Source organism: Homo sapiens, chromosome 4 (genome assembly GCF_000001405.40).
Source record: "Homo sapiens chromosome 4, GRCh38.p14 Primary Assembly".
Lineage (NCBI taxonomy): Eukaryota > Metazoa > Chordata > Mammalia > Primates > Hominidae > Homo > Homo sapiens.
The window spans coordinates 178,136,581-178,164,260 of record NC_000004.12 but is presented as its reverse complement, the minus strand read 5'-3'; the positions used below and the strand labels follow the sequence as shown (position 1 = coordinate 178,164,260).

Sequence of the window (27,680 nt, the reverse complement as noted above, 5' to 3'; positions counted from 1 at the left end):
ACAGTATGTCACACTAAATGATGGTGCTTTTCATCCCCTTGCACAACAGTGTTGAAGTCAGTATAAGGCCAACATCCAACATCCTTTTTAAAAAGGCATTTCTAGGTACTTAGCATTTCCACATATATTTTATATTCTGCTTTTTGTTCTTTATGAATTCCTGCTACATATTCCATTGGAATTGCATTGAATCTCTTGGTCAATTGAGGGATAATGAACATTTGAATATTACTGTCTTCCTGTTTTTGAAGATGGAATACCGTTCCACTTATGTATATCTTATTGGTTACCACTTTAACTAGTTTGTAAGTTTATAGTTTTGTTAAATTTCTTCTAAGTATTTTGTGTTTGATAATATCCTAAATTATTTTGAGTTTAACGTAATTTTCTATGTCTTGTTTCTATTGAAAAGATACAACTGATTTTTAAAAATTGGCCATGTATCCTGCTATCTTGATAAATTCACATATTACTACTGACACTTCTTTCAGAGATTTCTACAGAAGTTTTATGCAGACAATACTGTCATCTGTGACTAAATATTTATCTTACAAACTTTATGTCATGCATTTCTTTTCCTTGCCTTATTGCAATTCCTAAAATGCTCAGAAAGAAAATGAAGTGATGACTGCAGGTATCCATACCTTGTTCTCTACTGGGGAGTGTTACGGGCTGAAATGCATTGCTCCCATAGTCGTATGTTGATATGTTTTTATGGTATTAGTATTTGTTCTTACATCAATTATTTCTTTTCCATGATCACCTTAGCTTCACTTTGCTCTTCCATTTCTAGTTTCCTGTGAAATAATCTTAGCCAATCTCATCTTGGAGGCTGGAAAGAAAAAAAAAGAATCTTAGCCTGTTAATTTTAGGCCATTTTTCTACCATAGGCATTGACATTATAAATGTCCCTTCAAGCTATAGTTTAGCAGTGTCCCAAAAATTTTGATAGCTTATATTTTTCATTGCGTATATCTCTTATAGGTCAAAATTAAACTTTTAGAAATTCAATATACCTTCTAAATTTAGTTATATTTTATTCTGTGATCTAGGGGTTATTTAAGCGAATGTTATTAAATACACAAATATTTGGGAATTTTTCTGAAAATCTAATTTATCTTCACTTCTAATTTAATTCTGTTTTCATAAGAGGACATATGCTAAAAAATTCCATCTTTTGGAATTTATTAAGATACTTATATTTTTATAACTCATTTTTATACAAAATATATTTATAAAAGAAAGTATAATATAAAAGTGAGATTGTCATAGTGAATGTTCTATGTACACTTGAAAGAATATATACTCTGCACTTGTTTAAATTACTTGAATTTATAAATATCAGTTGTCTCAGGGTTGTTCACATATTCTATATTGTATTTTGCCTAATTCTATCATTTATAGAAATTACATTAAACAATATGTCTGTAGTGCTGTATTGTTCCATTTCTCCCTTAGGGAATATCTGCTTTTGCTTGACATATTTAGAGGTCTTTTTTTATTAGGATTTCACAAATTTCAGATTGCTATGTCTTGCTGATCAACTTCTTATTTCATCATTATGAAGAAACTCTGTTTTCTCTAGCAATACTTCTTGTCTTAAAGTGTAACTTATCTGATATTAATATAGTCCTATCAGCTTTTTATAGTTTTTGGGTATTATTAATAAGTTAATATGAACTTTTGAGCACAAGCATTCATGTGGATACATGTTCTTATCTCTCTTGGGTAAATACTTAGGGTTAGGTTGCTAGATGGTTTGGCTGTGTCCTCCCCCAAATTTCATCTTGAATTGTAATTCCCATAATCCCCATATGTCATGGCAGGGACCCAGTGGAAGGTAATTGAATCATGGGGGCAGGTTTTATCATGCTGTTCTCCTGAGAGTGAATAAGTCTCATGAGATACAATAGTTTTATAAATAGCAGTTCCTCTGCACACACTCTCTTGGTTGCCACCATGTAATACATGACTTTCCTCCTCCTTCACTTTCCAACGTGATTATGAGGCCATTAAACCTCTTTTTCTTCATAATTCTCAGTCTTGAGTATTTCTTCATAGCAGTATGAAAATGGACTAATACAATAAATTGGTACCAGGGGTGGGTACTGCTGTAAAGATACCCAAAAAATGTGGAAGCAGCTTTGGAACTGGGAAACACGCAGAGGTTGAAACAGTTTGGAAGGCTCAGAAGAAGATAAGAAAATGTGGGAAAGTTTGGAACTTCCTAGAGACTTGGATGGCTGAGAAGACAAGAAGAAGTGGGAAAATTTGGAACTTCTTAAAGACTTGTTGAATAGCTCTGACCAAAATGCTGACAGTAATATGGACAAGAAGGTCTAGGCTGAGATGGTCTTAGATGGAGATGAGGAACTTGTTGAGAACTGGAGTAAAAGTCACTCTTGCTATGTGAAGAGACTGGTGGCATTTTACCCCTGCCCTAGAAATCTGTGGCACTCTGAACTTAAGAGAGATGATTTAGTGTATCTGGCAGAGGAAATTTCTAAGCAGCGAAGTGTTTAAGAGGAAGAAGAGAATAAAAGCATAAAAAAAATTTGCAGCCCGATGATGCAATAGAAAAGAAAAAGCCATTTTCTGGAGAGAAATTCAAGCTGGCTGCAGAAATTTGCATAAGTAACAAGGAGCAGAATGTTAATCACCAAGACAATGGGGAAAATATCCCCAGGGTATGTCAGAGACCTTCATGACAGCCTCTCCCATCACAGGCCTGGGGGCCTATGAGGAAAAAATGGTTTCCTGGGGTGGGTCCAGGGCCCTCCTGCTGTGTGCAGACTTGAGAGTTGGTGCTCTGTGTCCCAGCCACTCTAGCTGTGTCTAAAATGGGCCAATGTACATCTCAGGCCATGGCTTCAGAGGGTGCAAGCCCCAAGCCTTGGCAATTTCCACATGGTGTTGAGTGTGTAGAGGTACAGAAGTCAATAATTGAGGTTTGGGAATCTCCATCTATATTTCAGAGGTTGTATGGAAATGCCTGGATGTCCAGGCAAAAGTCTGCTGCATGGGTGGAGCCCTCATGGAGAACCTCTTGTAGGGCAGTACAGAAGGGAAATGTGGGGTGGGTGCTCCCACACAGAGTCCCTAACAGGGCACTGCCTGCTGGAGCTGTGAGAGGAAGGCCACTATCCTCCAGACCCCAGGATGGTAGATCCACCAGCAGCTTGCACCATGCAACTGGAAGAAACCACAGAAACTCAACACCAGCCTGTGAAAACAACCAGGAGGGGAGCTGTATGCTGCAAAGCCACAGAGGCAGAGCTGCCCAAGGCCATGGGAGCCCACCTCTTGCATCAGCGTGACCCGGATGTAAGGCATGGAGTCCAAAGGAGAACATTCTGAAACTTTAAGGCTCATAGGTGGAAAGGACTTGCTTGTCTCAGAACAGACTTTCGACTTGGACTTTTGGGTTAATGCTGGACTGAGTTAAGACTTTGGGAGACTGTTGGTAAAACATTATTGTGTTTTGAAATGTGAAGACATGAGATTTGGGAGGGGCCACAGCCAGAATAATATAGTTTGGCTGTGTCCCCACCCAAATCTCATCTTGAATTGTAGTTCCCATAATTCTCATGTGTCATGGGAGGGACAGAAAGGGAGGTAATTGAATCATGGGAGTGGGTTTTTCCCATGGCTGTTCTTCTGATAGTGAATAAGTCTCATGAGATCTGATGGTTTTATAAAGGGCAGCTCCCCTGCACATGCTGTCTTGCCTGCCACCATGTAAGACATGCCTTTGCTCCTCCTTTGCCTTCTGGCATGATTGTGAGGCTTCCCCAGACAGGCGAAACTGTGAGTCCATTACCCCTCTTTTTCTTTATAAATTACCTAGTCTTGGGTATTTCTTCATAGCAGTATGAAAATGGACTAATACCCTAGGTTTTGTGGTGTATTTAACATCATAAGGTATTGCAAAACCATTATTCAATGTTACAGTATCACTTTGCATTTATACCCTCATTTTATGTGATTTCCACTTGCTACTAGCCAGCATTTAATATTTTTGCTATTGTTTTTTGTGTGTTTGTATGTTTGTTTTTAGTTTTAGGGCTTCAGGTAGGTATACAGTTGCAACTTATTGTAGTTTAATCTGCATTCTTTAATGACTAATTATGTTGAGTAACTTTCCATGTGGTTTTTTCTTTTCTTATATTTTCTTTAGTGGAGTGTCTGTTTAATTTTTTTTTCATTTTCAAGGAGTTATTTTTATTATTGAATTATTGGAGTTTTAAGTATATAATATCTATTTCTCTATATTCCATATATTATACATCTCTATGGAATATAGATATTATATATCTCCTTAATACATTTCTTTGTTCAGGCAAAATTTTGCAAACATTTACTACTAGGCTACAGTTTTACTTTCCAACTTGTTATTTATGTATTTTGAATAGGAAAAAGAATTGATGAAGTCTAATGTATATATTTTTTCTTTTATAGTTTATGATTTTTGTATTCTACTCAAGAAATTATTTACCTAACCCAAGATAATAAGAATTTTTCATATTTTTCTTCTATTTTATTTATAGATTCAGCTCTTACATTTAGACCAATGACCCATTTCAATATAATTTTTGTCATTTTTATGTACTATTAGGTGAGCATATTATATATATTGTATCATAATATAGTAACACCTTTTTCTAAAAATCAGTGACTATATGTGTGAGTTTATTCCTTTACTTTCTATTACTGTGTTTCATTAATTTATATTCTAGTGCCTTTTAACTCTCTCTATATGTGTAATTATTTTAGCAGCATCTTTAGATTTTATATTACACATCTTCAAATATTCAACATTTAAACTTACTATTATTCCATTTTCCACATCACTTGTGATGATTCTAGGTTCCTACTTCCTATTTTGTACTTCCCATTTTACATTTTATACTTTATACCCACTGTACTTTGTTCTATTTTTTCATTTCTTTCTTCTACATACTGTATAAATCTCACCTTTCAATGCTGTTATATTTCTCTTACCATTTGCCAATAAAGAAATCAATTCATAAAAAATTGTGTATTTACCCACGTTTGCAATTTCAGATACTCTTCTTATTTTTTACCTGGTACCATTATCTTTCAGCTTAAAGTACATTCTTTAGCCTTTCTCCCAATACAGGTCTGTGGCCACAAAACTTCACTATTTATTTAACTGTATAAGTATTTCCTTCTAATTTTAAGAACATTTTTCCTGGATTCTGTTCTGAAAACTTTTCTTTCAGCATTGTAGAAACATCATTGCATTATCTGTGGCTTCAGTTGTGTCTGGCTAAATGTTAGTTATCACTCATTTCAGTATTTTGTTTGTAATAATTCTTTTGTTCTCTGGCTATTTTCAAAATTTGTCATGTGTTTCAGCAGTTTTACTATGATGTGATTTTCTTGGTATTTATTCTGCCTATGATCTGCTGGTATGGGTCTGTAAGTAGGTGTTTTCATCAAACTGGAAAAATGACAAATGTTCATTTTTAATTCAAATACTTGTTCCATTCCAATCTCACGGTTCTCTTTTTTCTGAGGCTCCAACTATAAGCCATGTTAGAACCTAACTGGTAATCTGTTCTTCAATCTTATAAAGAATATGTTGAGATTAGGTCATTTTTACTAATATATCATGAAGTTCACTTTTCATTTATTCAATTCTCTCCAATCTGCTGTTAACAACATGCAGTGAATTTCTTATTTTGATTCTTGGACTTTTCCATTCTAAATTCTGTGTCTGGTTATTTTTTAATTGGTTCCATTTATTCCTTGCATTTTCCAAACTATTAATTTATTAAGGCTGCATTTTCCTTTAATCCTTCAAAATATTTAAAATAGATGTTTGAGAGTTCTTGTCTCTAAACCCGTCATATGAGCCATCTTGCAACTGGTTTCTATATTCTTTTTATCTTGACCATATAAGATATTTTTGCTTGGTATAGCATTGTAGGTTGGCATGTTGCTTTTTTCAACAATTTCAAGATATCTCTCCACTCTCTTTAGGCTTACATAGTTTCTGAAAAACAAAACAAAATAAAACGAAGCTATTTACATTGTTATCTTTTTTCCTCTGTACAGAATGTTCATTTTTCCTTAGATGCCTTCAAGGTTTTATCTTAACATTTTTCAGCACACTGTGATTTTTTTTCTTTATAAAATATTTCTTTTATTTTGTATTTACCTTGTTAGAGTTATCGAAACTTCCTTTATCTGTGGTTTGTAGCTTTTTATTTACTTTAGAAATTTTTGTGCCATTATTTCTTCAAAGAATTTATTTGCCTTTTCTTCTCCCTCTCCTCTCTCTATAAATACATGTACTTTTAAATTCTGTGCCACAGCTCTTGAGTGTACTATTTATCTTTTTACAATTTTCTTGTTGCATTTTATTTTGAATTGTTTTTATTATTCTACTTTTAAGTCCAGTGGAGTCTTTCCTCAGCTGTGATTAGTTTACTGGAGAGACTACTAAAGGAAATTTTTATCTCTGATATAATATAGCTAATTCCAAATTCCAGACATTAAGTTTAGAAGAGCAGGTGAAACAGGTATACATTATTTATGCCTAGAAATGGGTATGACCCTTTCTTTGTCAGGCCGTTATTGTGTAGGGTTAGGTTAATATTGTTGGTTGTGAGACAGGCTTGTGTTTTGTAGGCTTGTGTTTTGTCATTACCATTTTCTCAGTTCCCACAGACTTCACATTCATTTCTCTTTGTGCTGTTGTTGTGTGTCCTAGAATTCTGGAGAACTTCTCTTGGCATTTCCGCTCCATTATTTCCCTCATCTTTCACCTTGTTCCTGGATTTCTAATAACAGGATGTTCTCTCTCTCTTTCTCTTTGCTCTTGTCTCTCTTCCAGTGGTGGAAGCTGTTGCTATGCTTTTGATACTATTTATGCTAATGCTATGCTTATGTCTGGGGTAGCAAGTTCTTGTCTCTCCTCATCCAGCCTCAGTCTTTGCATGGGCTGCATGCCTGGACCTCAGGAGTTAGGGCTTTTCAGTGTTCCTGCCTCTGCTCCACCCATGGCAGCCAAATTTTGTCTTGTATCTGTTGTGGGTCTTTTTTTGTTGTTATTGTTTTGTTTTGTTTTGTTTTGTTTTGAGATAGAGTCTGACTCCGTCGCCCAAGGTGGAGTGCAGTAGTGTGAACTCGTCACTGGAACCTCCACCTCCTGGGTTCAAGCAATTCTCCTGCCTCAGCCTCCCCAGAAGATGGGACTACAGGCATGTACCACCATGCTTGGCTAATGTTTTTGTGTGTTTTTAGTAGAGACAGGGTTTTACCATGTAGGCCAGGCTGGTCTCAAACTCCTGACATCAAATGATCCACCCTCCTCAGCCTGCCAAAGTGCTGGGATTACAGGCATGAGCCACTGCACCTGGCTTCTTGTGGGTCTTCTATAAGATAAAGTTATTCCCCTGTGAACAGTGGTAGTGGAACAGCGATTTGTATTCCCAAAGACTTCAGAGCCTGATTTTTCTGCCTCACCCCCAAGGGCAGAGGATTTTGCATGTACGCTTCCCCAGAGCAGTGGATTTTTGCTTTGCTCTCAGGAGCATGGAGCAGGTTCTTCCCAACCCTTCCCTAGAGGCAGATGGGTTTGCTTCTATCCATATGTCTTGGGGCCTATGTATGACGGAATCTGTCACTCCTTCATCAGGAGAGAGAAAAAACAGCCTATATTTCTTTACTGCTCTCTAGCAGCATAGTTTAATTCTTAAAAATATTTAGAATAGCTGCTTTATAGCAGCTGTCTCTCTGTCACCCCACCATTCAAGCCATTTTGCAACCAGTCTCTGTTTTCTCCATTTTTTTTCTCAACTACATATTTTTGCTTGGTATAAAGTTATCTTTCCTAAGAACGCTAAGGAGACTCTATTGAGTCTTCTCCTCTGCCCATTAAGATTTCCATCAAAAATCTATTTCTGCAGTATTGAGATTTCTCAAAGAACTAAGAGTAGATCTACCATTCCATCCATCAGTCCCACTACTGGGTATGTACCCAAAGGAGAAGAAGTCATTATATCAAAAAGATACCTACTCGCTTAGGCTTATCATAGCACAATTCACAATTGCAAACATTTCAAGTCAACCTAAGTGCCCATCAACTGATGCATGGATAAGAAAATGTACTGTATATATATATATCATGAAATACCACTCTGCCATAAAAAAAGAATGAAATCATGTCTTTTGCACCAATGCAAGTTGGAACTGGAGGCCATTATCCTAAGTGAAGTAACTTAGGAATGGAAAGCCAAATACTGCATGTTCTTACTTACAAGTGGGAGTTAAGCTATGCATATGTAAAGGCATACAGGGTACTCTAACAGGCATTGGAAGAGATTTAGAAGGGAGGAGGGTAGGAGGGAAGTGAGAGATGAAAACTACCTGTTAAGAATAATGAATACTATTTGGGTGATGGGTAAACCCAAAGCCCACACTGCACTACTATGCAATTCATCCCTGTAACCAAAAAACAATTGTACCCCTAAAGCTATTTGTTTTTAATTTAAATCTATTTCTATTAAAAATCTAGCAGAAGTAAGTGAAGAATCATTTGTGATTAAATATACATTTCTCTTGTATCTGGGGCTCCCAATCATTGTAAACTGGTATTCAGCCCTACTGTTTCCCTTTAGAATATCGTTCGATTTTTGTGCTTGTTTTATTGCTTTGGTTTGGCTTTTTGCAGATTTCTGGCTGTGTCCTGCCAAAAGTGTAACAGTTCATACATCTTGTGTTCTTGGAAAGAGCTTAACACTCCTTGGAGTTGAGTTCCCTTAACAGACTTGTAACTTCAACTCGTTGAATGGATTAAAATAATTATATTTTGTATATTATCTCATTGTTTCTCATTTTTCCTTTGAGAGTGATGTTTGTTTTCAGGTTTCTATACTCAGAGTGAAAGGAGCACACTTGTCCTGTGTATTTAATGGAATTTTATTTTAAATAAGGCATTTATTTACACAGCCAATATTTCTTTAGATTTTCTCTACATGTGTTTTTTATTAATATTTTCTTGTTTTTTAAACTTGATCAATACCACTGAATATTCCTGTAATTGTGAGTTCTCTGCTAATGAATTATCTATATTTGAATTTACTGCAAATGCCTTTGACCTTTTCTCTTTCTATGTTTTGTTTTCCAGAAGTTCTATTATGGATGTGCTTAAGCATTGATTCTCTTCAGGGCAGTTCTCAAATCTAAGGATTTTGGAATTTCTTCAGTTTGCAATGTTAATTAGTCATTGTCACTTCTTCCCTTCTTCTCTTCTCCCATTTGTGACTTACTAATTTGCACATAAGTTTCTGTCAGTAGGTTCCCATAGAATTTGTAAGTGCTCTTTTTTGTCTTCCATTCATTTTGTTCATCAGCCTGGATATTTTCTATGAATTTGTCTTTCACTTCACTAATCCTCTCTTTTTTTCTTGTTCCTCTTAAAATCCTAGTCCTATGGTTTAGCTCTTCAGGAAGCCAAATCAAACAATTGGAGGTTTAATAAGCTTCTCCTTCCTTGAAGTTCCTTGATGCTGAACTTCAAATTTTGTCTATCTCCAAGTGGCTGACATAAATCTATGCACAGCTTTTGGTCTTTTCAGCTGCTTTTTCCAGAATAGACAGACAGTTCCAGATGAAAAGATATCCTAATCAATGGGTAACAAATATTTTTCTAAGAACAATCATACATATTTTCCAATATTTAAGAAAAAGAAAAGAAGCAAATAATTTTAAGAAGTCCAATTATTTCCATTCTTATTTATATTTCCACTGATAGTTATCAGCTCGTATATTATTGTTAATTAAACTCTACAGATGGATTACGAGTAAAGGAAGCTTATGTCTCATTTATATAGAGTAATAAGAATTTCTTTCTATGAAAATGGTATTGTTATTCTTACTATTATTATTTCTTAATTTTAGAAAGTCAGTCATGTATTGAGTGTATATTACAGATTGTTATATTCTTTGCCATGCAATACTATGTTAATACACTTTTTGTGATTGTAATAATGTGCCCTAAGAGAATTCTGAAGATTTGCATTTGTATGTCTGCTTTTCGGAACCATTTCCACCATTGCCAGTGCTCTCTTTCCACCACTTTAATAAAGTAATAGCATCTTTACGGCATCATTTTCCATGAAGATCTCCTTACCCATATTTTTGGACAAAATATGTTTGATCCTCTGCAATTCACTTATTGTTTTTGAGTCATATAGCCTTCCTATAAAAATGTGTCTGGCACTTGCCTCGTGGAGGTGTTTTTAATTTCCCACTTACAAGTTCTTTATTTTATGTGTAACTTGGTTTGGAAAACAACAAATGACTTAATTTATAATGATAAGATTTTAGGATAAGCAAATATGCCATGTCTTCAAAATATTCTCCATGATCCTCCAAAGCAGACTATTGTCCTAATATGCCTCTGTGTAAAGTCAGTTTTGATGTTGATGAACTTATATTATGTCATTAGCGTCATAATCTAAGACTTTCTATGAACTAGCATTATGTCATTGTCATCATAATCTAAGACTTTCTATGAACTTGCATTATGTCATTTGCATCATAATCTAAGACTTTCTATAATAATCAATCCTTTTTTGAGATTGATTAAAAATTATTGAGGACATTATGACTTTTTCATAAGTGAATTTGAAGTAAACAACTGAATATTTATTTGGCTACACCAATAAAGTAATTTAGAATTATCATTTTGAATGTTAAATATTTTAATATTTCATGTAAGATACATACAAATTATATAGTTATGCCAGCATGTATTGTAGCATATGAAAGACACAGGTGAAGTTAAATCAGATAATTTTAATATAAGGGACTAGGAAATAACTGGCCTTAAAGGTCATGTATATGTCTTATCTGTATTTAAAGAATAAATAACATTAACATAGCAAATATGATAAGAAAGTCTAACCACTCAGAATTACATAAAATTCTGAAAAATATTATTATCAGATTTCTTTTAAGAAGTAAGACATTGTGTCTAAAGAATATTTAATGTTGAATAGGGATATATAACTATTTCATGCAGTGAAATTAAAAATTTCAGTTTGAGTAGAACTGTTGATCATCACCCTTCTAAGTGTGAATACACAAACACATGTACATGTTTCAGATAGCTATGTATTATTCATGGAATTAAGAACTTACACTTTTTATACTTTTTGTGTTCCTTAGGAACGTTACAGATAATTTTTCATAGCTGTGCTATTGTTGCAAAAACTTTAGCAGTGTGTCTTCTGGAAAACTAAACTTTTGGCATAACATTGTTAAAAAAATTACTGTTTTTTTGCAGACGTGGTACTCTAAGAACTGTATTGTCCCAGGGCTTTCTGCAGTGTCATTTATATTTGAGATTATTGGTTTTCTTAAAATATAAGAGGTATATTATTTATTTAACTTTGGTCTCATCTGTGTTCTTCATGAACATATTTCATGAAAATAAACATGCAATTGCTGCCTAGTTCATTAATAAATAGAACCCAGTGGGCCACAAATATGCCACTTATATTATATACTTTTAATACATTGAATGTTCACATTGTTGTAAAATATATTTAGTGCTTTATGATAAAAGTAACATTAATATTCAAATATAAAGCCAATTAATGCTTACAGATAAAGTAAAACATGATAAAAATTTCACAAATAGGAAATCATCTGTGTATACATACAGTATCTGTTTAAGAAAGTATAAGTATACAGTTTAAGAAAATAAAATTTAATTTTTTAATTATACTAAAAAATCTAAGGTTATACTTGATGTTATTATTTCAAACATCAGCTTTCCTTTCTCTAGCTTATTTTTTATTTTTGTGTCCTTATTTCTTCATTTACGTAAGAAATAATCTCTTGAACATATAAACGTCTGATGCAGAGAAATCCTCCACTAATTTCAACCTTAAAATGTAATTGCAAAATAATACAATATTCCTCCTATTCCTTAAAAGGGATGTTTACTATTTTACTTTTGGTCTTATTTGGCTACATTTGCCCTGTACTCATCAGTAAAACTAAATTGGAAAGTCACTTGCTTAGTACTCCTAAAAATTAGTATTAGCTAGATAAATTAATGCTGAGTGCAGAAGCATTTACTAAAAACAATCAAAGGTCATGATAATGGATAAAAAAAGTTTGGTCAGAGTGTGGCATATCGAATCTGACAAATGGAAATGGGCTGTCCTGAGTATAGAAAATAAGGAACTGTGTTATCTAAAATGTAAAACTAATATTTAAAATTAGTGAAAAGATGACCTGCTTTTTACTATCGGTATTTGTTGGCGATTTTAAACATCAGTGATAAAATACTCCTTCCTAAAAAACAAATTAGTGAATCTATATTCTAAACAATCATGGCAGTTACTGGTGTAGATTTCCAATATATATAAATATTTACATATATGCAAATTAGGGCATATTTTAATTTTTAAATAAAAGCTTGTCTATTTAATAAATATTGACTGTATTCTATACAGAATGTTACTGTACAGTGAGCCTCTCACACATGAATATGTGCTCATATTGAGCCTTGGCTTGTAATAGCTCAGAAACTTTCAAGTTTACTTTGGACAAAGTTTCTGTTTCCAACCCCAATGTTATTATGTAGTCCTGACTAGTAAAGTACATTTAAAGTAAATAATGAGAGCGTGATTCTTGTGTAAGCAAAATCCAAAACTTATTTCAATTCTGTTATGTCTTTGAATACCAGGAGAAACAATAAATCTGGCTTAACAAAGGTGCTGGTCATACCAAATGTAATAACAGAGCTATTTTGAATTGGTTTCTTTGTCCAAATATAGTACAAAAAAAATCAAAGTAAAATAATATTAATGAACCTGTAGTCTATTGAATAACATAAAAATCTGTGTGTTCATCAGGTAATAAATGAACAAATGAATAGAGGAGGAAAGGAGATTTCTTTCTTAAAGTAGAATTCCAACCTATAAATACTATATAGAAGGAATAATAAAGTTGGAAAATCACCATGTGCAACATTCAAAGACTTGACTCAGAAAAGAATCTACGAAGACTATTAAAGCTAGTGGGTCAAATGTTGAAAGGAAACAGGGTTTTTATATAATAATCTCTAATTATTTCTTCCTGGTTACTTATTATGCAAAATTAGTTACACTACAGTTGAAAGACTGGGTGGACGATTTTTAGTCAAATTATGTGTTGACAGCACCAAAAGGACACACTGAGAGAATGTCCCTTTTTATGTGATGCACCGATGTTCTGCTCACTGCTGTGATATCCCTATTAGCCGAATTATGTAGCTTTGTCATTCAAAACAATTTACCAGTATGACCTATGGGCTTAATACACGCTGAAGGCTAATACTTCTGAGAGCGTAATAGGGCAGGAAATGCTGTTGTTTCTGTTTTGCTATCTTACTGCATGCATGCTTAACATATACAACAGGCAAAAGTCAAGGGAAGTTCAGAAAATGGAAGCATGCCTCCATATCTGTGTTCATAAATTTATTATTGTGACAAATATTTTGCTTTTCTTCCATTTGTAACAATTATCTTTAAAGATATTAAGTATTTAAAAAATCACTTGGATTAAATTGATTTCTTTTTTAATTATTTATAATTAATTTATTATGTGGTTATTTTTATAACCTTATTTAAATGATTGATTCACTTATTTTTCTCTCTAGTAAAATAATACAAGTATTTTAGGGCTGCAAATGTTCCTTTACTTTCAGCATTGGCCATGTCAGAAATATTATGTATAGTGTAATTATTTTACTTGGGCTTTTGAAAAGTGAGTAATTGCAGCTTAGTAAGCTGTTAGGAAAGCAAACTGCCTAGGAGAGTGTTTTGTTTGGCATTTAATTTCTAATTGTTTAATTTATTTAAATGGCCTTTTCTTAATGGTTTCAAATTTTATTGTTTTGTGAAATTTCATATATGGTAAAATTGATCATCTATTTTTGATGTTTCGTAGCTAGAAGACAAACCATCATTGAATTGTATGAAAGTTTTGTGGAGATGTATATACATGCACTCACACACAAACACGTGTTACTGCATATATATACATATAAACATGTTAATGTGTGTTTGTGTATGTGTATACATATATACACATACATGCATATTCTAATGGCTATAAAATATTATTCAGATATTCTCGATTCTTGTTTATCATTTGAATTTCTAAACAAATGAGTGAGAATGCTATCTTAAAGTTCTCCTAGTACTGTTACATTTTGCTTTTTTATTTTTTTAATACCGATATTCTTCATACATTTTATATAAACATACTGGATGCATTAACTGTCACAGCAGTTATTACTAACTTTTTTCTCGCTCTGTGAATGTATCAAAATCTTCTTTATCAAGAGTAGACATATTATTTGCTTGTCTTTTTTTCTGCCGTGTGCTAATACTGTGTTTCTCCCTTCCTTGGTGGGTAAGACCTGACTTACCATCAGATTGAAAGACTATTAATCTTCCTTGGACAACCAAGGTGATTTTCTGCTGCCTCTTGCTGGAACAGGAAGAGAGAAAAATGGGAGGGAAGTAAAGCATTAATCTCCAAGTAGAATAGCTGTCTAGAAATGCCAAGTTACTACATACATTTTCATTTCCCATGTAGTAGCTAATTCTGATATTACAAACCGAGAATTAGAGAAATCAAGAAGGTTCAGTACCCTAATAATGGAGTTCTGTAATCTGTGGGCTTTTTGGATAAAACAGTGATGTACAAGGAGTATGCACACAATATTTCTAATTTTATAGTAATATCCATATGACATATTTTTAAAGTACAATGTAGATCATACAGAATGAATAACTTTTTTTTTGAGACGGAGTCTCTCTCTGTCACCCAAGCTGGAGTACAGTGGCATGATCTCGGCTCACTGCAGCCTCTGCCTCCCAGGTTCAAGTGATTCTCCTGCCTCAGCCTCCCGAGTAGCTGGGACTACAGGGGCGTGCCACCATGCTGCCTAATTTTTGTATTTTTAGTATAGACGGGGTTTCTACTAAACCATGTTGGCCAGGATGGTCTTGATCTCCTGACCTCATTACCACCTGCCTCAGCCTCCCAAAATGCTGGGATTACAAGCGTGAGCCACCGCAAACGGCCGAACATCTTTACTATTTTGAGAGACACTGAAATACTAAGCTTTCAAACAAATTATAAATACATACATTTCAAATAGCATCATATAGTAGCCAATTCATTTCCATACCTGAAATGATATCAAAATGTAATTAAAGCAATAGTATGTCCAAAACAAATTTTTTCTTTTAAATTCATTGGGTTAAATGGAATAACTTGGTTTATTACATTTCTTCCACAGATACAGAAAAAAATTTCTACATACTAAGTTCACAAATAGGATGTTTCTAAATTTTCCATTATATTATATGTTCAATAATTGACTCTTTTATTAATAATGAAGTTTACAATAATCTATTATTTTGCCTTCAGTATAATTGGGTTCTATTAATCATAAAACTATATGTTGTTTATGGAAAGATATCCCTGATACTGTTTTTGCAAAATTATGACAGTGAGATAAATCTGACAAGGGAAATTTATGACAGTGAAAGAAATCTGACATAACTGGCTCTATCTTGCTTCTTGCCTCCAAGCTGCCCTTGTTCATGCCTGGGCATAGGTCAAGCTAGCTTTGGAAGGAATTTAGTTCATAGTTTAACTTTGAAAGAAAGAAGGTAACAGCCTATTCTTGCAACAAACTCCCTCGGTGCTTGGTGATCAAACTGCATGTATAAAACTAATAAATTATCCACAAGAATATAAATTATGGCTCAGGAGTCATGCAGCCAGAGGCCGCACAGTTCCTAAACTCCCTAATTGCTCCTATAGATAACATCACTATTGTAAACCTGAGATTAGGGTTTGAGGTATTTTTCAGACCCTGCATTCTGGTGGACCAGCTGGCACCACTGAGACTGGTAAACAGGCTCATCTGGTCTTGCTGGCCCCATTCAGGAACTGATTCAGTGCAAGAAGACAAGTTATTACTCCCTATGATTTCATCCCAACCCGACAAATAAGGATTCTCTAATCCCAACCCCCATCTGCCAAATTATTCTTAAAAATCTCTAGCCTCAAAATTCTCAAGGAGGCTAATTTGAGTAAAAATAAACTCCTGTCCTCTCACTTAGTTGGCTGTATATTTATTACATTCTTTCTCTATTGCAAAAACCTGCTGTTCTCAGTACATTAGCTTTTCCGGGCAGAGGGTAAGATGCAATCTGGACATTTATATCTCCTCATACAGTGCTTTCTTTCCAGGCTTAATTGAACATTGTAATCTCTGATATAATGATGTTTTAAGAAATTATTTGTCCAAGAAAAAAATCTGTAAATAATTGTGCTTGAAACAGCTGTTTTCTTATAGAAGTTACTCTTGTTTCAAAGCCATTTTCTCATGAGATGATTATTTTTCCATTTTCTTTCACATTCATAGGGGGAAACTAAGTCTGTTTTATAATGTTCCAAAATCTCTAAGGGTAGGTAATAATTTATAAAGTTTTGTGTGAATCAATAAAACAGGTTTTGGGTTTTATTTCATTTTAGTGAAACCAACTGGATTTTACATTAACACGATAATTTTCATAGTTTTATCATTTCTCAATCCTAGTACTGCTCTTTTCACAATAAAATAGCAGTATTTTTAAATAGTAAGAATAATCCATGATTTAAATACATCCTTCTGTTTATACTATAGGAAATGGATTTTTAAAAAGACTGGCCATAAGCAAAGAACAAAAAGAAAAAAACCAACACACATACAGAGATAATTTTATTATTTATTCTAAAATGCAATCTGTTTGCTTAGCTTAAATACTGATATTAAAGAGATAAAGATAAGACAAGATGCTACATGCTACATTTAGCACAATGGTAAACAGAGTAGTAGCAAATATTCTTTTGATTTTATAAAGATATATTCATGCTTTTTCTTTCCAGGTTTATTATTCACCCTCCTCTGTAATGAACTCCTAAATATGTCATATTGATTTCTTTGAAAAAATTAATACTTGCTTAAAATTTTATTGTTAATGTATGATATTTTGGACTAAGTTTATTCTATTCATTAGCCTGCTTTTCTTAGAATCCTTTTCTTTTGTAAACTGGCCAAACTTCTAAAATTCTTTTTGCAGCTATATGGTGGATGTTATTCCTCTATGATACTTAACATATCTATCAGTTAAGCATATAACACTAGAATTAATTATAATCATTTTAAAGACTCCCTGTCAACTTCACAATAGAGCAAGATTTAAAAGGGGCATTTTATAAAGCAAAATTTATAGAAATACAGATTATATTTGAACCCTATGTGTCTGCATATGTGTGTATTTTTGTGTATAGAAATTGATAAAGCTTACTTAATAAAATTAGAATGATGGTAACTCATTCCTTCATACATTATCACACAGAAAATAAAAATATTTCAGAGCTCAGCCTCTGATAATGATACTGTATATATGTTCTGTGAATGTTTGTGTGTATATGGGCACAAATCTTTATATGTAAAATATTCTGAATAAAATACTTCTTTTCTTAACCCACTAAAATCAAGTCTTCCAATCACAACTTTATTTTCCAATATGGTAAAGGCAAATCTTAATTTACTTCAAAGCTTACATCCTATGGGTCTTCTTTTTCTATTAAAAATACCACTCTAATCTTTTAAGAGAAATTCTGTGTATTTTGGTGGGCCTATGTGTCTGTGGATGCGTATATGCTTAGCAGCATAATATTCCTGTCATATAGGTATAGAAAAGAACATTTCAATAATTGTAATTGTCAGAATAAATGACTCTCTTTTTAGATGAAGGGCTTTTCTTTTCCAAGTTTTTTTTTTTTTTTTTTTCAATCAACTGAGTTTCAATTAACACAGCAGCAGGACAAATTAGCTGAAGGGTTTTTTCAACCAGAAGCATACATATCTAAGCTGAGCTGCAGCTCTAAACTTCTTCATTTTGTAGGTGGAGGATGGGTTAATTGCTTTTAATTAGTCTAATTACGCTAAGTGGGCCCAATATTTGTCTGTGTGTTGCTTATACCAGGGACCTGAAAACCTCAAGGCAAAATTTCTCTCATCATATTATTTCTCTCTGCAATTCCTTGCCCTTTTATTCTCCTAATTGGCTACTGAGCACTGCTTCTATAACCCTGTTGGACCAAAGAACATGGAGACACATATTCAGTGATTTCCACTATATTTTTCTCTTCACATTAGAAGAACGTCTTTGTTCTTCCAGCATATGGCTCCCTACCAGAAAGGTCATTTCCCATGATGGTATCTGCTCGTTACTTCTTCTCTCTGGGGCCTCTTCCAGCCACCCTATTTAGCATTGACACCTACCCACCAACCGTCTACCTCTTTTTAAAAAATTTGCATAGCACTTATTGTCCTCTAGTAAGCCTTATTTTCACCTATTAATTCTTTATTCTTTACCGTTCATCTTCCCTCTCTATATCTCAATTGAAGGATTCTTTTTTAAAACTTTTTATTTACTGTTAAATTGTAAGATCCCCAAAAATTCCATCATACACATAGACTCAATAAAATTTCAGTGTATTATTGAATGAATCATTCCATATTTTGTTAAAAATCAAAGAGCTGTTATTTTACACCACCAACCTGTAGATGTGTTAAAAGGTTATTGACCTCAGGGGAACTATGTGACTAGCCTGGAAGTTACAGTTACAGCTTCCACCTTACAAGCTGGACTAATACAGCTCGCATTGATTGCCAAATGTTAGAGAAGAGTTAAAAATGTGTAAAGCTTTATTCTCACTCCTGCAATGCCCTTTAAAATTATAGGAGTTACTTATTTTCTAAAGATATGTTACTTATTTTTGATAAGTTCAAAGGCAGCAAATAATATGACAATTTTTTAAAAAGTAAAAGGACAATATAACAGAATACGAGGAAAGATATTTTTTCTTTTTGAAGAGTGCACCTGATCCTTTATATGCCATGACAGACATTTAAATATATAAACCAATTGCTTCCACTGAAAGAGTAATTTTAGAAGCACTTTATTATGTAATTAAAAGAAGATGATCAAGACAAGCTTTTTGAAATATTGATTGGGCAGCATTAAGCTTAAATTTTTACCCCAACCAGGAGGAAGAGAAATATGTAACTAGGTCCTAAATTAACTTGCTATAAAAAAAATCTGGGCTAGAATTTATTACTTAGTATCATTGGAATTGTTAAAAAAATACACTATTTTTTTCTAGCTATATTACATTATTTTAAAAGTGCCATTCATTCTAATTTGGTTATTTTTTTAATACTACATTTTCTTGTTAAGAATTTATTGTGATGATATAAACAATTAATTCCTTGTATTTCTGTTATTCCTATGGATTAAGTGACAAAATGTTTTTCCTCTCAGTTTTAGCTAAGATTTTTTTTTGTGGGGGGGTTATTATTATACTTTAAGTTTTAGGGTACATGTGCACAACGTGCAGGTTTGTTACATATATATACATGTGCCATGTTGGTGTGCTGCACCCATTAACTCGTCATTTAACATTAGGTATATCTCCTAATGCTATCCCTCCCCACCTCCTCCGACCCTACAACAGGCCCCGGTGTGTGATGTTCCCCTTCCTGTGTCAGCAAACTATCGCAAGGACAAAAAACCAAACACCGCATGTTTTAGCTAAGATTCTTATCCGAAAAGTTGACTCACTAAATGATGTAACAGATAAATATGTTGTGAATTAGTTTCAGATAACAAATCTCTGTAAATCACAAAACTGATATGGTTTGTACCTTATTTTTAAGAGACCTTTTTACAGCAGTTTTATGTTCACAGCAAAACTGAACAGAAAATACAGAGATTTCCTATATACTACCTGCTCTTACACAGGCATAGACTCCATTATCAATATCCCCCACCTGAGTGGTCCAGTTGTTAGAATTGGTGGACCTACACTGACACATCATTATCACTCAAAGTCCATAGTTAACAATAGGGTTCACTGTCCATATTATATATTCTACGGGTTCAGAAGAAAAGTATAATGACGTAACCGCCATTGTAATATCGTACAGAATAGTTTAAAACTGCCTTAAAAATCCTTTGTATTCCACCTATTTATCCTTCCCCCCACCTCTAACCCCTGACAACCACTGACCTTTTTACTGTCTCCATAGTTTTGCCATAGAGTGTCAGATAGTTGGAATTACATAGCCTGTGCCCTTTCAGATTGGCTTCTTTCGCTTAGTTATGTGCGTTTAAGTTACCGCCATATCTTTTCATGGCTCGGTAGCTCATTTCTTTTTATTGTTCAATTATATTCCATTGTCAGGTGGTACCAGTTTATTTTTCTCATCATCTAGTAAAGGATATCTTGGTTGCTTTGAAGTTTTGACAATCATGAATAAAGCTGTTGTAAACAACTTTGTGTAGGTTTTTGTGTGGATGTAAGTTTTCAACTTATTTGGGTAAATACCGAGATGTGTGATTGCTAGATCACATGGCAAGAGTAGTTTTGTCTCATAAGAAACTGTCATATTGAATTCCAAAGTGTCTACCATTTTGCCTTTGTGTCAGCAATGAATGAGAGTTATTGTTGCTTCACCTCCTCACCAGCGTTTGGTGCTGTCAGTGTTCTGGATATTGGCCATTCTAAGAGGTATGTGGCTGTATCTCGCTGTCATTTAAATTTACATTTCTCTAATGACATATAAAGTGGAACAACTTTTCATATGCTTATCTGTCATTTATGTATTTTCATTTGTGATGTGTCTGTTAAGGTCCTTCACCCATTTTTAAATCAGGTTTTTAATTTACTTATTGTTGACTTTTAAGAATTTATTGCCGATTCAATTGTCAGAGCCCTATATTGGTCTACTCATGGTTTCAATCTCTTCTTGATTCAATCTTGGGAGAGTGTGTGCTTCCAGGAATTTATTCATTTCCTCTAGATATTCTAATTTGTGTGCATAGACTTGTTCATAATAGTCTCTGAGGATCTTATGAAACTCTGTGGGATCAGATGTAATGTCATTTTGTCATTTCTGATTGTACTTATGTGGATCTTCTCTTTTGTCTTTGTTACACTAGCTAGCAGTCTATCAACCTTGCTGTCAGGTTGCAACCCAAGCTGGGGTCCGAGGGGAGTCGGTGGACGGGTGGCGGGTAGCTGAAAGAACACTCAGGGGACCATAGGCAGGTGGGAAATGGTCTCCTACAGAGTCAGCAATGCGGTTATATTTTTCACAGACAACAGTGGCTCAAAGCCAGGTATGAGCTCACAAAAACAGGTTACATCAAAATGGCTACATAAATGTGATTACGTAATGCACAGGGTGTTGCACCAGCGCTGTGTCATGGTGTACCGATGTCTGCCTCCACCTACTCCTGACTGAAGCACACCCATTTTCCTTACACTCCACTCCCTAGGCCAAGGGAGTTCTCCTAGTGGGGAGACTTGCCCACAGGGCAGAACCTTGGACCCAGAGGCCACAGCAGCAATACAGGGAGCAACAGCTCACTAGTAATATTCCCACTATGCTGCCCATAATTATTAGGGTGCAATATAAGCCAGAGCCCAGAGATGCCTACCATGTCTGTAAGGGGTCATCAGTAAGGCTCTCAACTGCCTTGATTTTCTGGGAAACTCCTTGCAAAGCTACTGTTATGTTTTGTTGATTGTCATGGATGAAGGTAAAACATTGCATTCCCAAAAGAGCACAGGTGCCACCTTGGGCAGCAGTTAATATGTCTAGGGCCATCTGGTTCTGCAGTACCACCTACTGGTTTGATCAGCCTCATCTGTCTACAGAAGGAGGGCAACTAGGGTGTAATTCAAGACTCCAGTAGTGTGCTCCGCAAGGGCCGTAACTTGCATTTCTACAGTTCTGACACCTGCTCCAGGGATGATTAATGCTAAGGTGTAGAGCCACCGGGAGCTCGTCGCACTCGCAAAAACAGGGACTGTAGCACCTCCCAGTTATGTGGGTGTCTAGGCAATGTTGGAATAACAGTGACAGGCACATAAGGCCGCCCCCCAGTACAGCAGTCAGTCCAGTTCACTGGTAAGTATGATGATCCCATGTCTCCACACACCTATAAACTCCAGGGGGCACAAAGTCCATTAGGGCCCAGCCTTGATGAGGCCACCTATTCCACCACGCCTTTGGTGTGGTGACATATGTTATATTAGTGCAGGCTATGCGTGACATTACCCCAATGTTGCTCCATCCATCATGGTACCTGTAGTGGGGGCACCAAGTGTTCTCCAACTAACCAGCCCCATCCATCATAGATGCTATAGGTCAGCCGGGAGGCAGGCATGCCATGGGTTTTGCAGCACCTCCTATCCGAAGCTTGCTGTGTCATGTTCCAAACGTTGGCCATAGTACCCTAAGTCTCTAACCATGTCCAGTTTTCCGCAGAAGCTGGATGTATGTGCAAGGGCAAGCTGTCCAGAGCTGCTGCTAGAAGGGCAGTGTAGATCCAACAGTTGGAAACATTGGTCACCTCAGCATAGGTGTGGGCCCAGTCCACAATGCTGTTGGAGCATGTCAACCTATGGTTGAAACGACAAAGCAGGCACCGGTACTGACGGGTATATCACACCCCTCAGGCAAAATACAGGCCAACCTTTCATCTCTGGATAACAATGCAGCTGCCAAGGGCTTCTGCCCTGAGCGATGGTACCATACCTTTTCAGCTCCCCATTGTTCGTTTGGGTCCTGTATCCATTCCAAAGTCACTGGGGAGCTCATAATAGGCTGCACAAACAATACATATGTCCCCTGGAGAAGGGTTCCTTCCCTGGTCATTTCCCTATGAATGGTCAATTGTAGAGGTCATATATTAAATACCTAAGGAGTGACATGTAAATCATACTGTACGCACTCCCCCCAGGGGTCTATGATAGCCAACCATTGGCAATGGGAGGCTATGAGGGTCCATGGCCAAAGCCAGGCTTTTTGTTCCCATGCCTTTAGGGGCATTGGGGCAGGCAACAACAGATTACCATTCGTCCTCATACCTGGTTGGAAGAGGTCCTCCTTAGTGTGTATCTGTAACAGGATGGGAGCAGTGGCCCAGTGTCACAGTGACTCCACCGGGTCTGGGCCACCTTTCCGTAGCCATTCATTCATGTTTTAGAGCATGAGGTCCAACCTTGAACTCCAGCCCTGTAAAGAAGGGGGAGTAACATGCAACTGTAACCCATTTTTCAGGAGTCCGTTAAATCACTCAATCATGCCAGTGGGTTGTGAGTTATATGGAATATGGAACCTCTACTTTATGTCCATCCATTGCACCCGCTCTTGTACCTGCTGTCCGGTAAAATGTGTTCCCCTATCACTTTCAATGGTCAGGGGGTGACCGTATAGGGCACACAACTGTTGCAGGGCCTGAATGGTATGCTATTGGTCAGCCATCCTGCAAGTGTAGGCAAACAACAGACTGGTGGCCGTGTCTACAGCTGTCAGCACATGCGTATGCCCCCGCGACCTTGGCAGCGGCCTGATGTGGTCTGTTTGCCACCTAATCAAGGGCATCCACCCTACTGTCATTTGTTGTGTAACACTGGGCAGCTAGCTGTCTCCACCTGGGGGTATGCCGGTGCACACACTGGGCACTTCCGGCAGGCCTCCCAGATATCTTGCTTGGACATGGACAGATCCCAATGCTTCTTGACCTGTTGCATTAGTTTACGCCTTGCACGACCCAATTTTCGGTGCAGTCATGGGGCTACATATCATGTAAGTGCTGACTCCAACCATTGGACCTTGGCTAAGGCACCTGCCTTATCATTGCCAGGGGCAGCCAAAGGCACATGGCCTGACACATGATAAATAGTTACATCCTTTTGGTGATTTATGGGTGATCCCTTGGTTACACCCATTTCCCATAGGTCTTGCCATATGGCCTGGTCCCAAATGGCCTGGTGGCCAACTAGCCAATTCTGTAACTTCCAGGTCGTTAACTGCAAGGTTAGGCCTCTACAAACTGCCCGGCTATTGGTGCAGATTAGCCTAGGTGTCTCTTCCTTGGTGATCACCATCCACAATGCCCTAAGTTCAGCTCATTGGCTGCTTTGTCCACACCCAGTATCAAACCATATGGTATCAGTAATAGGCTGGACCATGACAATGGTCCAGGCAGCAGTAACACTCCAGCTGGACCCATCTGTATACCATGCCCCATTGGGAATGGAGGAGTGCCCTTCTAAATGCTGATGGCTCAGGGTTTAAGGGTGCCTCAGGCTGATCCATGGCCTTATCATGCATCAGGACTACAGGTCCCCTGACTTCTTATAATTCTGCTGCTAAGGGGCTTATACTCAGGGTATTCTGCTGTTCTAAGTAGGCACCCCACTTTGCTAAGGTGGATGTCTGTGCTGTCCTGTCTGGGGGGTCATTGAATGTACCCACCCCACTATTGGGTAAGTCATCCACACGATGACTTCAGCCCATCCCATCACACTCTCACAAGACTGAAGGGCAGCATATGAAGCTGCTAACTACTTCTCTATCAGTGACTATCGGAGCTCACCTCCCTTCCAAAGCTGGGACCAAAAGTCTACCAGTGTTCTGAAGTGCTCCATGGACTGCCATAGGCCCCAGCCACAGTCATCTGTGGTCACATGCTCATCCATTTCAAATGGGCGCCCCAGGTCAATCACTCATAGGGCCTGTGCTTGCTGTATGGCCTGCTTGGCTGCCAGAAAAGCCATCTCAGCCTCATCAGCCCAATTCCAGGTAGTTCCTTTTTTTGTCAACCAATGCAAGTGTTTCATCAACTGAGCCAAATAGGGTGCGATGCTTGCCAATATCCCAAAAGGCACACAAAAGTCTGTAGCTGCCACATCGTTGTGGGCCGGGGATATGCCTGAATTTTATCAGTGATGGCCTCTGGTATGGCCTTTGTCTTATTCAACCAGATAACTCCCAAGAATTTGGCAGACAATCAGGTCTTTGGACATTGATTTGTTGACAGCCCAACCGCATACTGCCAAATGTTGTCACAGGAGGGATGCTGCTGCTTCTAAATCTCCAAGAGAATCAGAGGTTAACATAACATAATCAATATAATGGAATAAGTGGACCCCCTTTGGACATTTCCAGGTCACTAAATCCGTGGCAAGGAGACCATGACATATGACGTGGCTATGCACATAGCCCTGCAGCAACACCGTCAAAGTCTATTGTCACCCCTCCCACATGAAGGCAAACTTCCTGGCTCTCTGGAGCAATGTCAATTGAGAAGAATGCATTGGCCAAGTTCACCACATAGTGGTGCTGTCCCAATTCCATTGTCAAGTGGTCCATCAAATCCGTGATAGAAGGCACAGCTGCATGTAAAAGGGGTGTTACTTTATTTAGTTCTCAGTAATCCAACGTCACCCACCAAGGTCCATCAGGCTTGCTGACTGGCCATACTGGAGAATCGTAAGGGCTGTGCATGCCACGCACTATCTGCACCTTCACTAACTTATGAATAGTCTCAGTTATCTCCATCTGCCCACCAGCCAAGTGGTATTGACAGGTGGAATTAACCCGTCGGGGTTGTGGCAGGACCTGGGGCGGGTGATGCCCGTATGTCAGCGCAGTACTGGCTTAACCACACATAGTTGGCGTCTGAATTATCCGGCCGTGGTTTGTGAAGCCAAGCTGTGTAAAATATCCACCCCCAGAACGTATTCAGGTATGGGAGAGACATATGCGGTGTATAAGCAGGGAGCCAAGTGGCCAGTGCCAAGGTGCAAAGATACAGGTTTCATTCTCAATGACCAGCCTCCACAGCCGTCTATACATACAGCCTTGCCCAGAAACTTATCCGGGTTCCCATAGATGAGGCTGCGATCTGCACTGGTGTCTACCAGGACCAGCACACACTGTTCCTTGCTGGGGAACCAGTGGATTGCCAATTCCACATGTGGCCTTCGGTCGTTAGGAGGCACCCCAAGCCGGGCACCTCAGCCAGTTCCCTAAGCAAACACAAAGGGCTCTATACCTCCTCCCGTCTGCCAGTAGTCCTTGAGCTGGCGCGTCTGTGCGGGACTGGGTCGAGCAGCATTGTCCTGCCCCCTCTTGAGAATTTTCTAGAATTGTTGCTCCTAGGACAACTGCCTCCACAAAGTTAACAGGGCTTTATCGGGTTACCTATCAATTTTCTCTCCGGCAACCCCAGCCAAAATCATCAGTCCACATCTGCATGTGAGTCACCTGTTGGGGCCCCTTTTTGTCCCATGAGGTGGGGTCCTGTGGAAGGGCTGCCTGCCCCCTTTTTATGGCAGGGACTCCCCGGTCCCCCCAACAGCCCTCTGCTTCCCTGTGGGCCGCCACGGCAGTAGTACCCACATGTATGTGGCACCCCATGCATGGAGTGAGGACAGTGGCCAAGGAGCCGAAGACACTCGGAGGCGGAGACCCTAACACAAGGTCCCTCACGTGGGAGGTAAAGCGTTCATCATCTGGCCCTTGGGTATTCAGATCCAGCATAGCCTGCCATATACCCGTCTCCCAAATTATTTGCACCAAATTTATATATGACTCATTTAGTCAGCTTCTGGTATTTCTCCGGCATCATTCCATACGGTTCGTATGGCCACCATCAGTCATTCAATTAGGGTGTAGTCACCTTGCCCCTATGGTAACTGCCTGCTGAACTGCAATCGCCGATGGAGGGAGGAATGGGTCGTAATGGAGGCCAACTTTTCCATTTCAGAGGTGGAGCAGACAATGCTGTTGGCTCCCTCATCCCATAGGCGCAGCATCCAGGCAGGTAGGGGTTCCCCCACGTGCTGCCGGCACTGTTTACCTAATTCCTGCAACTCAGTTGGGATATAGGCACTGTGTGACATGTGCTCTGTCATGGTAGGGGGTCCCTGAGCCCGCCCCTGGGGCCCCAAAGGCTGTTCATGCTCTATTTTCTGATGGACCACTGGGCGAGCCCACAACAGGGTGTCCTTCCTCCTTGGTATCAGACCGAGCGAGGGTCTCTGACCTGGATGGTGGGCCCAGGCCCGACTAACGGCAGCCCCTAATTCCCATTCCAAGCTGTGTATCCAGGCCTCCAGGTTCTCTGCTTGTGCCTGGAGGTCCCTTACCTGCGCTGCATCCCGCAGAGACTGAGCTTGTACTTCCCATAGCGCAGCCAAAATCGTCCATCCAACTCTACTGGCAAAGGCGCCGCTCCCTCAGTGTTCTGTGCTTCCAGGTGCTTCTGCGCCTTCTCCCTGCTCATGGGGGACCTATCCACCAGGGCCCATCCTAGCAGCACGGCTGCCAGCGGGTACCACAACCCATGCTGGGGCCACATGGCTGACCGGGATCATCGGGGACTAAGGGCTGTCTCACCTTGGGATCCTGCCAACTACACCAATTGTCAGGTTTCAACCTGAGCTGGGGTCGGAGGGGAGTTGGTGGACAGGTGGTGGGTAGCTGAAAAGACCCTCGAGGGACCGTAGGTGGGACATGGCTTTATTCATCTCTCTCCCTACTACAGAGTCAGCAGTGCAGTTATATTTTTCACAGACAACAGTCGCTGAAAGCCAGGTATGAGCTCACAAAAACAGGTTACATCAAAATGGCTACATAAACATGATGACATAGTGCACGGGGTTGTGTGCCGGGCCCCAAAGCCTCTGTGTCATGCTGCACCGGATGTCTGCCT

At 37.9% G+C, this 27,680-nt stretch overlaps 1 long non-coding RNA gene across 1 annotated transcript; it reads right to left on the bottom strand.

Moving 5' to 3' along the window:
• Positions 1-678: 678 nt before the first annotated feature.
• LOC105377562 (uncharacterized) lies at positions 679-27,486 on the bottom strand. The gene is made up of 5 exons (XR_939514.1): positions 27,115-27,486; positions 23,044-23,191; positions 22,712-22,835; positions 14,462-14,523; positions 679-832 (listed from the first exon to the last, which is right to left on the bottom strand). It is a non-coding gene; the product is annotated as an uncharacterized LOC105377562 (long non-coding RNA).
• Positions 27,487-27,680: the final 194 nt, after the last annotated feature.